This window comes from Homo sapiens, chromosome 16 (assembly GCF_000001405.40).
Source record: "Homo sapiens chromosome 16, GRCh38.p14 Primary Assembly".
Lineage (NCBI taxonomy): Eukaryota > Metazoa > Chordata > Mammalia > Primates > Hominidae > Homo > Homo sapiens.
Window position 1 is genome coordinate 18764297 of NC_000016.10, and position 13086 is coordinate 18777382.

Genomic DNA, 13086 nt, shown 5'->3' on the forward strand with positions numbered 1-13086 from the left:
GTATTTGTCTTTCTGTGCCTGATTTATTTCACTTAACATAATGTCTTCCAGGTTCATCCACGTTGTCACCAATAACAAGACTTCCTTCTTTGTTTCCTTAATTTTTATGGAGATGGGTTAAGGCTGAAGAGTATATATACCACATTGGTGTATGTGTATCACATTTTCTTTATCTACTCATCCACTGATGGACACTTAGGTTGATTCTATACCTTGTCTATTGTGAATAATATTGCAGTGAACATGGGAGTGCAGATATCTCTTCAACACAATGACTCCGTTTCCTTTATTTATTTATTTATTTTTAATTTATTTATTTATTTATTTTTTGAGACAGAGTCTCACTCTGTCACCCAGACTGGAGTGCAATGGCACAATCTCAGCTCACTGCAACCTCTACCTCCAGGGTTCAAGCTATTCTTGTTCCTCAGCCTCCCGAGTAGCTGGGATTATGGGCGCGTGCCACCACGCCCAGCTAATTTTTGTATTTTTAGTAGAGAAGAGGTTTCATCATGTTCACCAGGCTGCTCTCAAACTCCTAACCTCAGGTGATCCACCCGCCTCAGCCTCCCAAAGTGCTGGGATTACAGGCGTGAGCCACTGCATCTGGCCCAGGATGGCTATTTTCAAAGAAGCAAAAAGATAACAAATGCTGGCCAAGACGTAGAGATCTTTCACTGTACTTCTGACAAAAAAAGGGTTGTTATTTGTGTGTGTGTGATTTTTCTTCCCTGAGCAGCCCAGGCAGAGCACACTGGGCCCTGTGCACTGTCCTGTTACCTTCACATTTTGTCTCCACTGACTCCAGGCCCAACCCCTACTAGAGCTGCAGCTGTGCCTGTGCCCAAAGTCAATAGACTGAAGAGCAGAAAGAGGGAGTGGACTCTTACCCCATGGCTGGCGGACATTAAGATTTATCTCTAGGCCAGGCACAGTGGCTCACACCTGTAATCCCAGCACTTTGGGAGGCCAAGGCAGGCAGATCACCTGAGGTCACGAGTTCGAGACCAGCCTGGCCGACATGGTAAAACCTCCCATTTACTAAAAATATTTTTTAAATTAGCCATTTACTAAAATATTTTTTAAATTAGGTGTGGTGGTGCATGTCTGTAGTCCCAGCTTCTTGGAAGGCTGAGGCAGGAGAATAGCTTGAACCTGGAAGGCAGAGGTTGTAGTGAGTGGAGATCGCACCACTGCACACCAGCCTGCGCAACAGAGCGAGACTCCATCTCGAAAAAAAAAAAAAAAGAAAGAAGAAAAAGATTCATCTCTAGCTTGCAAAGCCAAAGTCTGCCAACTGCCATTGAGAAGCCCCTAATCCATGAATGAGGGGCTTTAGCTTCCTTCATAGCCAGACAAGGACAGAGGAAACAGAAGAGAGGAGACGGATCAACTACCCAGAGAAGCCAGAAAACCCTCTGCCAGGGAAAATACCACTTGTAAAAATAAGAGGATTATTTGGCTGTGAAATTTGCTTAATAATTGAATAGAAAACTTATTTTGATTCCCCAGGAAAAACCCAGACATTAAGTAATGTAAATTCCTGTTCAGCCAGGAGCCAAATAAGCAGAAAATATGAATTATTAGAGTCCTCCCCAATGCCAGACCCACATTCTATTTCACAGGAAATAAACAAAGAAAAAAATTCTCTGACATGGGGATTTTTCTCTAACCAGCAAACTGTCAGAATGGGTTGGGGAGGGAACTGCCCGCATTTTCCCATCCTCCTTCCCCTCTCTCTCTCTATACCACGGCCCCTCAGAATCACTCACAGAGGACTAATCATATTCCTTGTGTCCATTTGTGAATCACTTGGATCCTCCAAGGGCTGGCGGAGGAGTGGCTCATGACCAGTCAATGTCATGAATAAGTGATCAATGTCCCAGAAGGGGGAAGCCATCAAGAAGCTGAGAATGGGCCGGGCGCGGTGGCTCACACCTGTAATCCCAGCACATCGGGAGGCCGAGGCGGGCAGATCACCTGAGGTCAGGAGTTCAAAACCAGCCTGGCCAACATGGGGAAACCCCGTCTCTACTAAAAATACAAAAATTAGCTGGGCATGGTGGCGGGCACCTGTAATCCCAGCTACTCAGGAGACTGACACAGGAGAATCGCTTGAATCTGGGAGGCGGAGGTTGCAGGGAGCCACAATCATGCCATTGGACTCCAGCCTGGGTGACAAGAGTGAAACTCTGTCTCAAAAAAGTAAAATAAAATACAATAACAAAAACAATAAATAAACAGAGAATGGGGTCAGCTCACCCAGCCGCATGTGGAAGCAGGCCAGGGCAGGATGAGGGACGGCTTGAGCAAATTTTACCTTTCACATGGTACAAAAGTGTTTTTATTTGTTCCAAGTAAATATCCAAGAGTTCAAAAAATAGTTGCAAAACATGATGTTCCCCACTCTCCTTTAAAAGTGATTAAGGCCAGGCACGTAATCCCAGCACTTTGGGATTAAGGCTCACGCCTGTAATCCCAGCACTTTGGGAGGCTGAGGCAGGCGGATCATGAGGTCAAGAGATCGAGACCATCTTGGCCAACATGGTGAAACCCCGTCTCTACTAAAAATACAAAAATTAGCTGGGTGTGGTGGCGTGCACCTGTAGTCCCAGCTACTTGGGAGGCTGAGGCAGGAGAATCATTTGAACCCAGGAGGCAGAGCTTGCAGTGAGCCGAGATCGCGCCATTGCATTCCAACTTGGGTGACAGAGCAAGACTCCATATCAAAAAAACAAAAAACAAAAAACAACAACAACAAGTGACTGATTAGCCAGGCGCAGTGGCTCATGCCTGTACTCTCAGCCTTTTGGGAGGCTGAGGCAGGATGACTGCTTGAGTCCAGGAGTTTGAGAACAGCTTGGGCAAGATGGTGAGACCTCATCTCTACAAAAAATAAAAAAAAAAATATTAAAAAATAGCTGGGCGTGGTGGCACATGCTGTGGTTCCAGCTACACAAGAAGCTGAGGTGGGAGGATCGCTTGAGCCCAGGAGGTGGAGGCTACAGTGAGCTGTGTTCTCACCACTGCCTTCCTGCCTGGGTGACAAAGCGAGAACCTGTCTCAAAAAAAATTTTTTTCATGAAAAAAACAGTGGCTGATTATACAAGCACATGTGATGTTAGAGAGTTAGCGAAAGTCCCACCTGTTTGTTTGGGTTCTGAAACTGATAGCAGCTGTTAGGATTTTCTGAACATTGATCCTGTGCCAGACACTGAACTAAACACTGAGCATGTTCACGCGTTTAATCCTCATGATAAGCCCATGAAGCCAATGCAGTGACTAAGACCGAAGCCAGGGTTTGAATCTGCCTCCTCCACACACTAGCTGTATGATCAAGTGACTTGACTTCTCTATGCCTCAGTTTCCTCTTCTATAAAATAGGTATAAAAATAGTACCCATCTTGGCTGGGAGCTGTGGCTGACGCCTATAATCCCAGCACTTTGGGAGGCTGAGGCGGGTGGATCACGAGGTCAAGAGATCAAGACCATCTTGGCTAACATGGTGAAACCCTGTCTCTACTGAAAATACAAAAATTAGCTGGTATGTGCCTGTAGTCCCAGCTACTCAGGAGGCTGAGGCAGGAGAATTGCTTGAACCCAGGAGGCAGAAGTTGCAGTGAACCCAGATTGCGCCACTGCACTCTAGCCTGGCAACAGAGCGAGACTCCATCTAAAAAAAAAAACAAAAAAACAAAAACAAATAGTACTCATCTTGTAAAACTGCTATGAAAATTATACGAGTTATATGAACAATATCTGGAACATAGTATGTGCCATAGAAGTATGGCATCATCTTTATCATCATCGTCATCATCACCACAGGCGAGATAACTGAAGCTCAAAGAAAGAAGGCTACACTATTTCCCCACAGTCCAGTTGACTCTCAGGCTCATCCTCAAGCCCTCCTTCCCCACATTCTTACGCACATGGTTGCTAGGCTGCATTCTTCAAGCCCCGTCCCTTGGATGCCTTGGGAAGTTGGAACATCACCTCTTCGCTCTGCTTTTGGAGCCATCGTGCTGGAAGGACAGCAGGCGTGGACCTCCTCTCCCTAGGCACCTACCCACCACCCGCAATGCAACCTCTTCACCTGGCACGAGGCACTCCTAGGAGCTCTCTCCAGCTTCCTCTTGCCATATTGTGTGCTTTTCGAAGAGGACGCAGACATGCAACCCCATCCCACAGCAGCCCACAACTTAAACAACAAAAGAGAACGCATCAAGCAGTGGTTTCTCCGTGTCTTTCACCACACCTGGGCACACTAACTCAGAACACATGCCCATCCACTCAGTCCCAAAGACACGACTCTTTTTTTTTTTTTTTAACTCTGTGCCTATGCTTACCCAAAGACAATACCGTTCTTCTTTCTTTTTTTTTTGTTTTAAACAAAAAAAAAAAGACAAAGTCTCGTTCTGTCGCCCAGGCTGGAGTGCAGTGGTGCCATCTCGGCTCGCTGCAGCCTCTGCATCCCTGGGCTGAAGCGATTCTCCTGCCTCAGCCTCTCGAGTAGCTGGGATTACAGGCGTGCACCACCACACCTGGCTAATTTTTGTTTTTTGTTTCTTTAGGTTTTTTATTTTTATTTATTTATTTATTTATTTTTTTCTTGAGACAGAGTCTCACTCTGTCCCCGAGGCCAGAGTGCAATGGCATGATCTCAGCTCACTGCAACCTCTGCCTCCCAGGTTCAAGCGATTCTCCTGCCTCAGCCTCCCAAGTAGCTGGGAATACAGGCATGCACCACCACGCCCAGTTTTTGTTTTGTTTGTTTTTTTTTGTTTGTTTTATTTTTTGGTATTTTTAGTAGAGACGGGGTTTCCCATGTTGACCAGGCTAGTCTTGAACTCCTGACCTCAGGTGATCCACCAGCCTCAGCCTCCAAAAAGGCTGGGATTACAGGAGCGAGCCACACAGCACCCCACCTAATTTTTGTATTTTTAGTAGAGACAGGGTTTCACCATGTTGGCCAGGCTGGTCTCGAACTCCTGATCTCAGGTGATCCACTTGCCTTGGCCTCCCAAAGTGCTGGGATTACAGGTGGGAGCCACCATGCCCAGCAAAGACTGTTCTTCCTAGTGAAGAAAGGAGACAGGAGAAAGATATCTGCTAACTCAAGATAATTTTGGTTTGCTCTTCCTCTGTGCCATTGTTCCCATTCCCGCAAACCCCATCACAAGGAGGAAAAAAAAAAAAAAAAAAAGAAAGGAAGAAAATTTTGACTGCTAGAAAGACCTTACCCAACATAAAAGCATTATGGATGCATTTGTTTACTCTAAAACTTTCTTGAAGACCTAGTATATGCCAGACACTGTGCCGAGTTCAGGACTCCACCTCTGCTGATGGAGCCCTTGTGATACAACAAAGACTTCTTGTTCTCTGAGGGTTTTTGCTATTCATGTGATTTGAATTAATAATAGTAATAACTCAACATCTCACTGGCCCACTGCCCTGCTGGCTCTCAAGGCGCTACGACTTCTGCAAAGTGCTCTCTCTTTAGGACTTTGTCCATGGTTTCCTTCATCTCTTTGAGTATATTTAAGACAGTCAATTTACACTCATTGTCGGCTGAGCATGGTGGCTCATGCCTGTAATCCCAGCACTTTGGGAGGCTGAGGCAGGCAGATCACTTGAGGTCAGAAGTTCAAGACCAGCCTGGCCAACATGGTGAAACCCTGTCTCCACTAAAAATACAAAAATTAGCTGGGCATGGTGGCGGGCATCTGTAATCCCAGTTACTTGGGAGACTGAGGCACGAGAATCACCTGAACCTGGGAGACAGAGGTTGCAGTGAGCCGAGATTATGCCACTGCACTCCAGCCTGGGTGACAGAGTGTGACTCCATCTCAAAAAAAAAAAAAAAAAAGTAATTGTCTAGCCTGGCATTGTGGTGCACACTTGTAGTTCCAGCCTACTCAGGAGGCTGAAGCAGGAGACTCACTCGAGCCCAGGAGATAGAGGCTGCAGTGAGCTATGATTGCATCACTGCACTCCAGCCTGAGTGACAGAGGGAGACCCTGTCTCTAAAAAAAAATTAAATAAATAAATTTTTTTAAAAGTCATTGCTGGGCTGGGCACAGTGGCTCACGCCTCTAATCCAGCACTTTGGGAGGCTGAGGCGGGTGGATCACGAGGTCAGGAGTTTGAGACCAGCCTCACCAACATGATGAAACCCCGTCTCTACTGAAAATGCAAAACTTAGCTGGGCGTGGTGGCGCACACCTGTAATCCCAGCTACTCAGGAGGGTGAGGCAGGAGAATCGCTTCAACCCCAGAGGCGGAGGTTGTAGTGAGCCAAGATCGTGCCATTGCACTCCAGCCTGGGCGACAGAGTGGGACTCTGTCTCAAAAAAAAAAAAAAAGTCATTGCCAGTAAGACCAATACCTGGGTTGCCACAAGGACAGTATCTAGTCATTTCTTTCTTGCCACAAATGAGTGGAACTTTATTATTTCTTTCCATGCCATGAGGGTTTTTGTTGACATTTTCAATTTATGGCAACACTGAAAATCAGATTCTCCTCCCTCCCCAGGGTCTATTGTTGCTCTCTATCGTGGGTTGCTGTGGTTTGCTTGTTTGGTAAATTTTCCAAACTATTTTTGTAAAGTCTGTATTCTTTGTGTTTCTGTTTCTGTTTTTTTTTTTGTTTTGTTTTGTTTTTTCTGTTCTGTTCTTTTTGCTTGTTTCTGTCCTTTTTGCTTGTCAGTCAGCTGGTATTTTGAGAGCTACCTAAAATGGCTGAAGCCAACAAATAAAGAAGAATAAAAGGGAAGAAACAAGAAAACAGGAGAAATAAAGAGAAAGAAAGAGAGAGAGAAAGAAGGCAGGCAGTCAGAAAGGAGAGAAAGGAAGGAAGGAGGGAAGGAAGGAAGGAAAGAAGGAAGGGAGGGAGGGAGGGAGGAAGGAAGAAAAGAAAAACACTATCCTAGTCTTTGCAAATTGGATCTGTTTGGGGCACTCTCTCAACCCTTAACCAAGCCATTTATACTCTGCCTTAGCCTTCACTTCCTGCTTGCACAGAGACTGAAGGCCAGAAAGAGATGAAAGCCCAGGGTCTTCTTAGGCCTTTTCTTTTGTTTTTGTTTTGTTTTGTTTTGAGACAGAGTCTCACTCTGTCACCCAGGCTGGAGTGCAGAGGCACAATCTCAGCTCACTGTAACCTCCACCTCCCAGGTAAAGTGATTTTCTGCCTCAGCCTCCCGGGTAGCTGTCATTACAGGTGTGTGCCACCATGCCTGGCTAATTTTTGTATTTTTAGTAAAGGCAAGATTTCACCATGTTGGCCAGGCTGGTCTCAAACTCCTGACCTCAGGTGATCCAACCACCTTGGCCTCACAAAGTTTCTTAGGCCTTTTCTGAGCATGCAACTGACTATGGGCCTGCACACAGCTTTCTTGATTTCCTGGTTTATGTGGACACTTTTAAAAGCCTCTACAGACACACATCTCTTTTTCCAAACTTTTCCTTCCCAGGCTGCCCGGTCTGTCTATTGCTTGTCCCAAGTGTTGTCCCCTGCCCCAGGGTATTGAGGCCAGTACCTATGTCTTTCAATGCTTTTGTCTAAAGCCACCTGGGAAGCCATGCCAGCCCTGAAAATGCCCTGGGTAAAAAGCTCAGAAGCCTTTCTGCTAGTCCTTGGGGAAGTTGTCAGACCTATAACCCCAAATTTATTTATTTATTTTTTAAGACGGAGTTGCCCTGTCACCCAGGCTGGAGTTCAGTGGCACGATCTTGGCTCACTGCAACCTCTGCCTCCCGGGTTCAAGTGATTCTCCTGCTTCAGCCTCCTGAGTAGCTGTGATTACAGGTGCCCACCACCATGCCCAGCTAATTTTTTGTATTTTTAGTAGAGATGGGGTTTCACCATGTTGGCCAGGTTGGTCTCAAACTCCTGACCTCGTGATTCACCTGCCTTAGCCTCCCAAAATGCTGGGATTACAGGTGTGAGCCACCACACCCAGCCTACAACCACAATTCTTTGAGAGTAAATTCTGTGTACTCCCCCTACGCTAGCAACCAGCCCCAGAAGGGCAGGCTGACATCCTCATGGTCCCTGCTGATCTGGAGTTGGGGGGATGTTACGTGAGCAAGCAAAAACGCCATCAATCACACTCTCTTATCACAGGAGAGCTTTCTTTCCTTCCTTTTTTTTGAGACGGACTTTTGCTTTCACCCAGGCTGGAGGGCAGTGGCACTATCTCGGCTCACTGCAACCTCCTCCTCCTGGGTTCAAGGGATTCTCCTGCTTCAGCCTCCCGAGTAGCTGGGATTACAGGCACATGTGCCACCATGCCCAGCTAATTTTTGTATTTTTAGTAGAGCCGGGGTTTCACCATGTTGGCCAGGCTGGTCTCGAACTCCTGACCTCAGGGGATCCACCCGCCTTTGCCTCCCAAAGTGCTGGGATTATAGGCGTGAGCCACCATGCCCAGCCTCAGAGCTTTCTTTCTCCAAATTTTCCCGTAGTAGTTGTAAGTTTGTTTGTTTCCCTTTTTAAAAACTAGAAGGCTGGGTGCGGTGGCTCAAGCCTGTAATCCCAGCACTTTGGAAGGCTGAGGCTGGTGAATTGCTTCAGCTCAGGAGTTCAAGACCAGCCTGGGCAACACTGTAAAACCCTGTCTCTACAAAAAATACAAAAATTAGCCTGGCATGGTGGCTTGCGCCCATGATCCCACCTACTCTGAGGCTGAGGCGGGAGGTCAAGGCTGCAGTGGGCTGAGATTGCACAGTGGCACTCCAGTCTGGGGGACAGAGTGAGACCCCATCTCAAAAAAATGAAAGCTAACAAAAAGCTAGATCCCAGAGTACTTCAGAAGTTGATTCTGACAGTTTTTGCCACCTTATTAGTTGTGTTGGGGGAGGGATGGAGCCCTGGAATTCCCTACTCCACCATTTTGGGCCGCACAGTACCTTTAAAGTGCTCCTCTGTCTCCGGGGAAATTCCTGCACTGTGAGTCTATAGATCCCCTAGGTGGAGGCCAGGACTTGTTTTCCCCATCTCCCTTGCAGCCAGTAACCCCCTCAGTTCCTAGCAAGATTGGCTCTCGATTTTTTTAAATGGATTTTTCTTTTATTCTTTTCTTTTTTTTTTTTTTTTTTGAGATGGAGTTTTGCTCTTATTGCTCAGGCTGGAGTGTGTACAGTGGCGCCATCTCGGCTCACTGCAACCTCCGCCTCCAGGCTTCAAGCAATTCTCCTGCCTCAGCCTCCCGAGTAGCTGGGATTACAGATGCGTGCCACCAGGCCCAGCAAATTTTTGTATTTTTAACGGAGATGGGGTTTCACCATTGTTGGCCAGGCTGGTCTCAAACTCCTGACCTCAGGTGATCCACCTGCCTCGGCCTCCCAAAGTGCTGGGATTACAGGCGTGAGCCACCACACCAGGCCAAGAGGTTTTTTTTCGTTTTTTTTGTTTTTTGTTTTTTCAAACACATTATCTGTCTCAAATAGGCTGGAGTGCAGTGGCACAAACATGACTCACTACAGCCTTGACCTCCTAGGCTCAAGCCATCCTCCCACCTCAGCCTCCTGAGTAGCTGGGACTATAGACTCATGCCACCACACCCAGCTAATTTTTTTCTTTTTTGTAGAGACAGAGTCTTGTTTCGTTACCCAGGCTGCTCTCAAACTCCGGGCTCAAGTGATCATCCCACCTCAGCCTCCCACAATGCTGGGATTACAGGTGTTAGCCACCACTCCCAGCTCTTAAAAACAGATTCACTAATGACCACAAAGGTGTTCCTGTCCACTCAGGATCTTATGTTCAGTACTGGCTCAGCACAATCTGCAGCCCTAAACATCCATTTCATAACAAACACTGTTCAGGCCCCAAAGAATGTCTCATTTCTGCCCAGCGTGGTGGCTCATGCCTGTTATCCCAGCACTTTGGGAGGCTGAGGCGGGGAGATCACCTGAGATTGGGAGTTCGAGACCAGCCTGACCAACATGGAGAAACCCTATCTTTACTAAAAATACAAAATTAACTGGGCATGGTGGCACATGCCTGTAATCCCAGCTACTCGGGAGGCTGAGGCAGAATTGCTTGAACCCGGGAAGCAGAGGTTGCAGTGAGTCGAGATCACGCCATTGCACTCCAGCCTGGGCAACAAGAGCAAAGCTCTGTCTCAAAAAAAAAAAAAAAAAAAAGCATCTCTTGTCCTAAAATCTCAAAACAAAAGGCAACTATGGCCAGGTGTGGTGGCTCACGCCTGTAATCCCAGCACTTTGGGAGGCCGAGGCAGGCAGATCAGTAGAGGTCAGGAGTTTGAGACCAGCCTGGCCAACATGGTGAAACCTCGTCTCTACTAAAAAATACAAAAATTAGCCGGGCGTGGTGGTGCGCACCTGTAATCCCAGCTACTCGGGAAGCTGAGGCAGGAGAATGGCTTGAACCAGGGAGGTGGAGGTTGCAGTAAGCTAAGATCGTGCCACTGCCACTCCAGCCTGTGCGGCAGAGCAAATGAATGAATGAATGAATGCAACTATTTTATGTCAGGAAGGTTTGTGGGTTGCAGCCGCTACCAATGTTGGAGACACCCATTGCTTCAGAGTATGCAAAGGACTTGAGTGTTGAAACACTTAAGTAAGAGGAAGCAGAAATTAATTCTTAAATTCCTCTTCTCAGGGAGGCTGAATGCAGCAGATTCTTGTATAACAAGTATCATTTCTCAGAAGTGCTGAGAGTCCATTTATCTGTTTCTCCTCATGTTCCAAATTGTGCCTCCAGACATACTCATGAGTTAGAGAGTAATATGGGTCAGGCGTGTTAGTTCATGCCTACAATCCCAGAACTTTGGGAGACTGAGGCAGGAGGATCACTTGTGGCTGACCAGCCTGGGCAACATAATGAGACCCTGTCTCTACAAAAAAAATTAAAACTTTGTTTAAATAAAAATAATAAAAATTTTTAAAAGAGACCAATATGGCTACTCACTGTAGCTGAGGAACATTTAGCCATTTAAACAATTTGTATCACTCTCTAATTTGTATATAAGATCGAGACACAAAATGTATGTTGTACTATCAGTCCTTTAGATGAGCAATTAGACTGACATTGAACACTAGAACTGGGAAAAGTTATTTAATAATAATATGCAATAAGATTTAAGTTTTCAAAATATTAAATATAAATTTTTCAGCTTTTATTTTTTATTTTTCATTTTCATGTTTTTTGAGACAGTATCTCACTCTGTCGCCCAGGCTGGAGTGCATTGGTGCGATCGCACCTCACTGAACCCTCAACCTCTCCAGGCTCAGGTGATCCTCCCACCTCAGTGGAGTATCTGGGACTACAGGTGTGTACCTCTATGCTTGGCTAATTTTTGTATTTTTTGTAGAGATCGTATTTCATCACGTTGCCCAAGCTGATCTCGAACTCCTGGGCTCAAGTGATCTGTCCACCTCAGCCTCCCAAAGTGGTAGGATTACAGGCGTGAGCCACTGCGCCCACCCAGTTTTCAGCTTTAAGCAATTTTTATTTAAAGCTTTGTAAAAATATAAAAATTAGCCAAGCGCGGTGGTGAGCACCTGTAGTCCTAGTCTCCCGAGTAGCTCGGATTACAGGCGCCTGCCACCCCACCCTGCTAATTTTTGTAGTTTTAGTAGAGACAAGGTTTCACCATATTGGCCAGGCTGGTCTGGAACTCTTGACCTCAGGTGATCCACCCGCCTCGGCCTAAAAAAAAAATTAAAAATAAATTAGGAGGATCAGTAGTGCCGTTCCCAATTATCTCATAATTTCCACCATTTTAAAGAGACAACCCTCACATCTCCCAGGTTCAAAATATCCTAAAGTATCTTCAACCTGGGTTGAGTCAGGTGCCCCACCCCGGGACTAAACGCATGTGTCAGAGGGTTTGGGGTGGGGGTGAGTATTTAAGAACCATGTGGCTGGGCACAATGGCTCACACCTATAATCCCAGCACTTTGGAAGGTAGAGGCAGGAGAATTGCTTGAGCCCAGGAGTTTGAGACCAGCCTAGGCAAAATAGTGAGGTCCCATCTCCACAAAAAATAAAAAATTAGCTAGGTGTGGTGGTACATGCCTGTAGTCCCAGCTACTGGGGAGAGTGAGGCAGGAGGATCACTTGAACCCAGGAGGTCGATTTGCACTCCAGCCTGGGTGACAGAGTGAGACCCTGTCTGGGAAAAACAAAAACATGTGGAGGGAGGGGGATACAGGCCGGTCATGGAAGACAGGCATGTTGACAGCAGAGGGTGCTACAGATAATCTCTTGACATCCCCTAACTGACAAAGAGAAGGCTAATCCCTTTTATTACTCTAGATCTCATTCTTTTCTATTCTGCCACTGAATAAGCCCTTACTAAATATCAGAGGTTGCTCTAAGCATTTGTATCAGTCAAGATACGTTAGGTTATAAAAACGCCAAATTGCAGTTGCTTAATTCACAAAAGCGTCATTTCTTGCTCTTGCTACACACCCATTGCTGGGTGGCTGGATCTCTGCATTGTCACCCTCACTCCTGTGCCAGGCAAATGAAGCAGCCGCTCTTGGGCATAATCGCCCATCACCATGGCGGAAAGAAAGAGGAGCCATATCCACTCTGATGATAGTTTCTTTTGCTGTGCAGAAGCTCTTTAGTTTAATTAGATCCCATTTGTCAATTTTGGCTTTTGTTGCCATTGCTTTTGGTGTTTTAGACATGAAGTCCTTGCCCATCCCTATGTCCTGAATGGTAATGCCTAGGTTTTCTTCTAGGGTTTTTATGGTTTCAGGTCTAACATTTAAGTCTTTAATCCATCTTGAATTAATTTTTGTATAAGGTGTAAGGAAGGGATCCAGTTTCAGCTTTCTACACATGGCTAGCCAGTTTTCCCAGCACCATGTATTAAATAGGGAATCCTTTCCCCATTTCTTGTTTTTGTCAGGTTTGTCAAAGATCTGATGGTTGTAGATATGCGGCATTATTTCTGAGGGCTCTGTTCTGTTCCACTGGTCTATATCTCTGTTTTGGTACCAGTACCATGCTGTTTTGGTGACTGTAGCCTTGTAGTATAGTTTGAAGTCAGGCAGTGTGATGCCTCCAGCTTTGTTCTTTTGGCTTAGGATTGACTTGGCAATGCGGGCT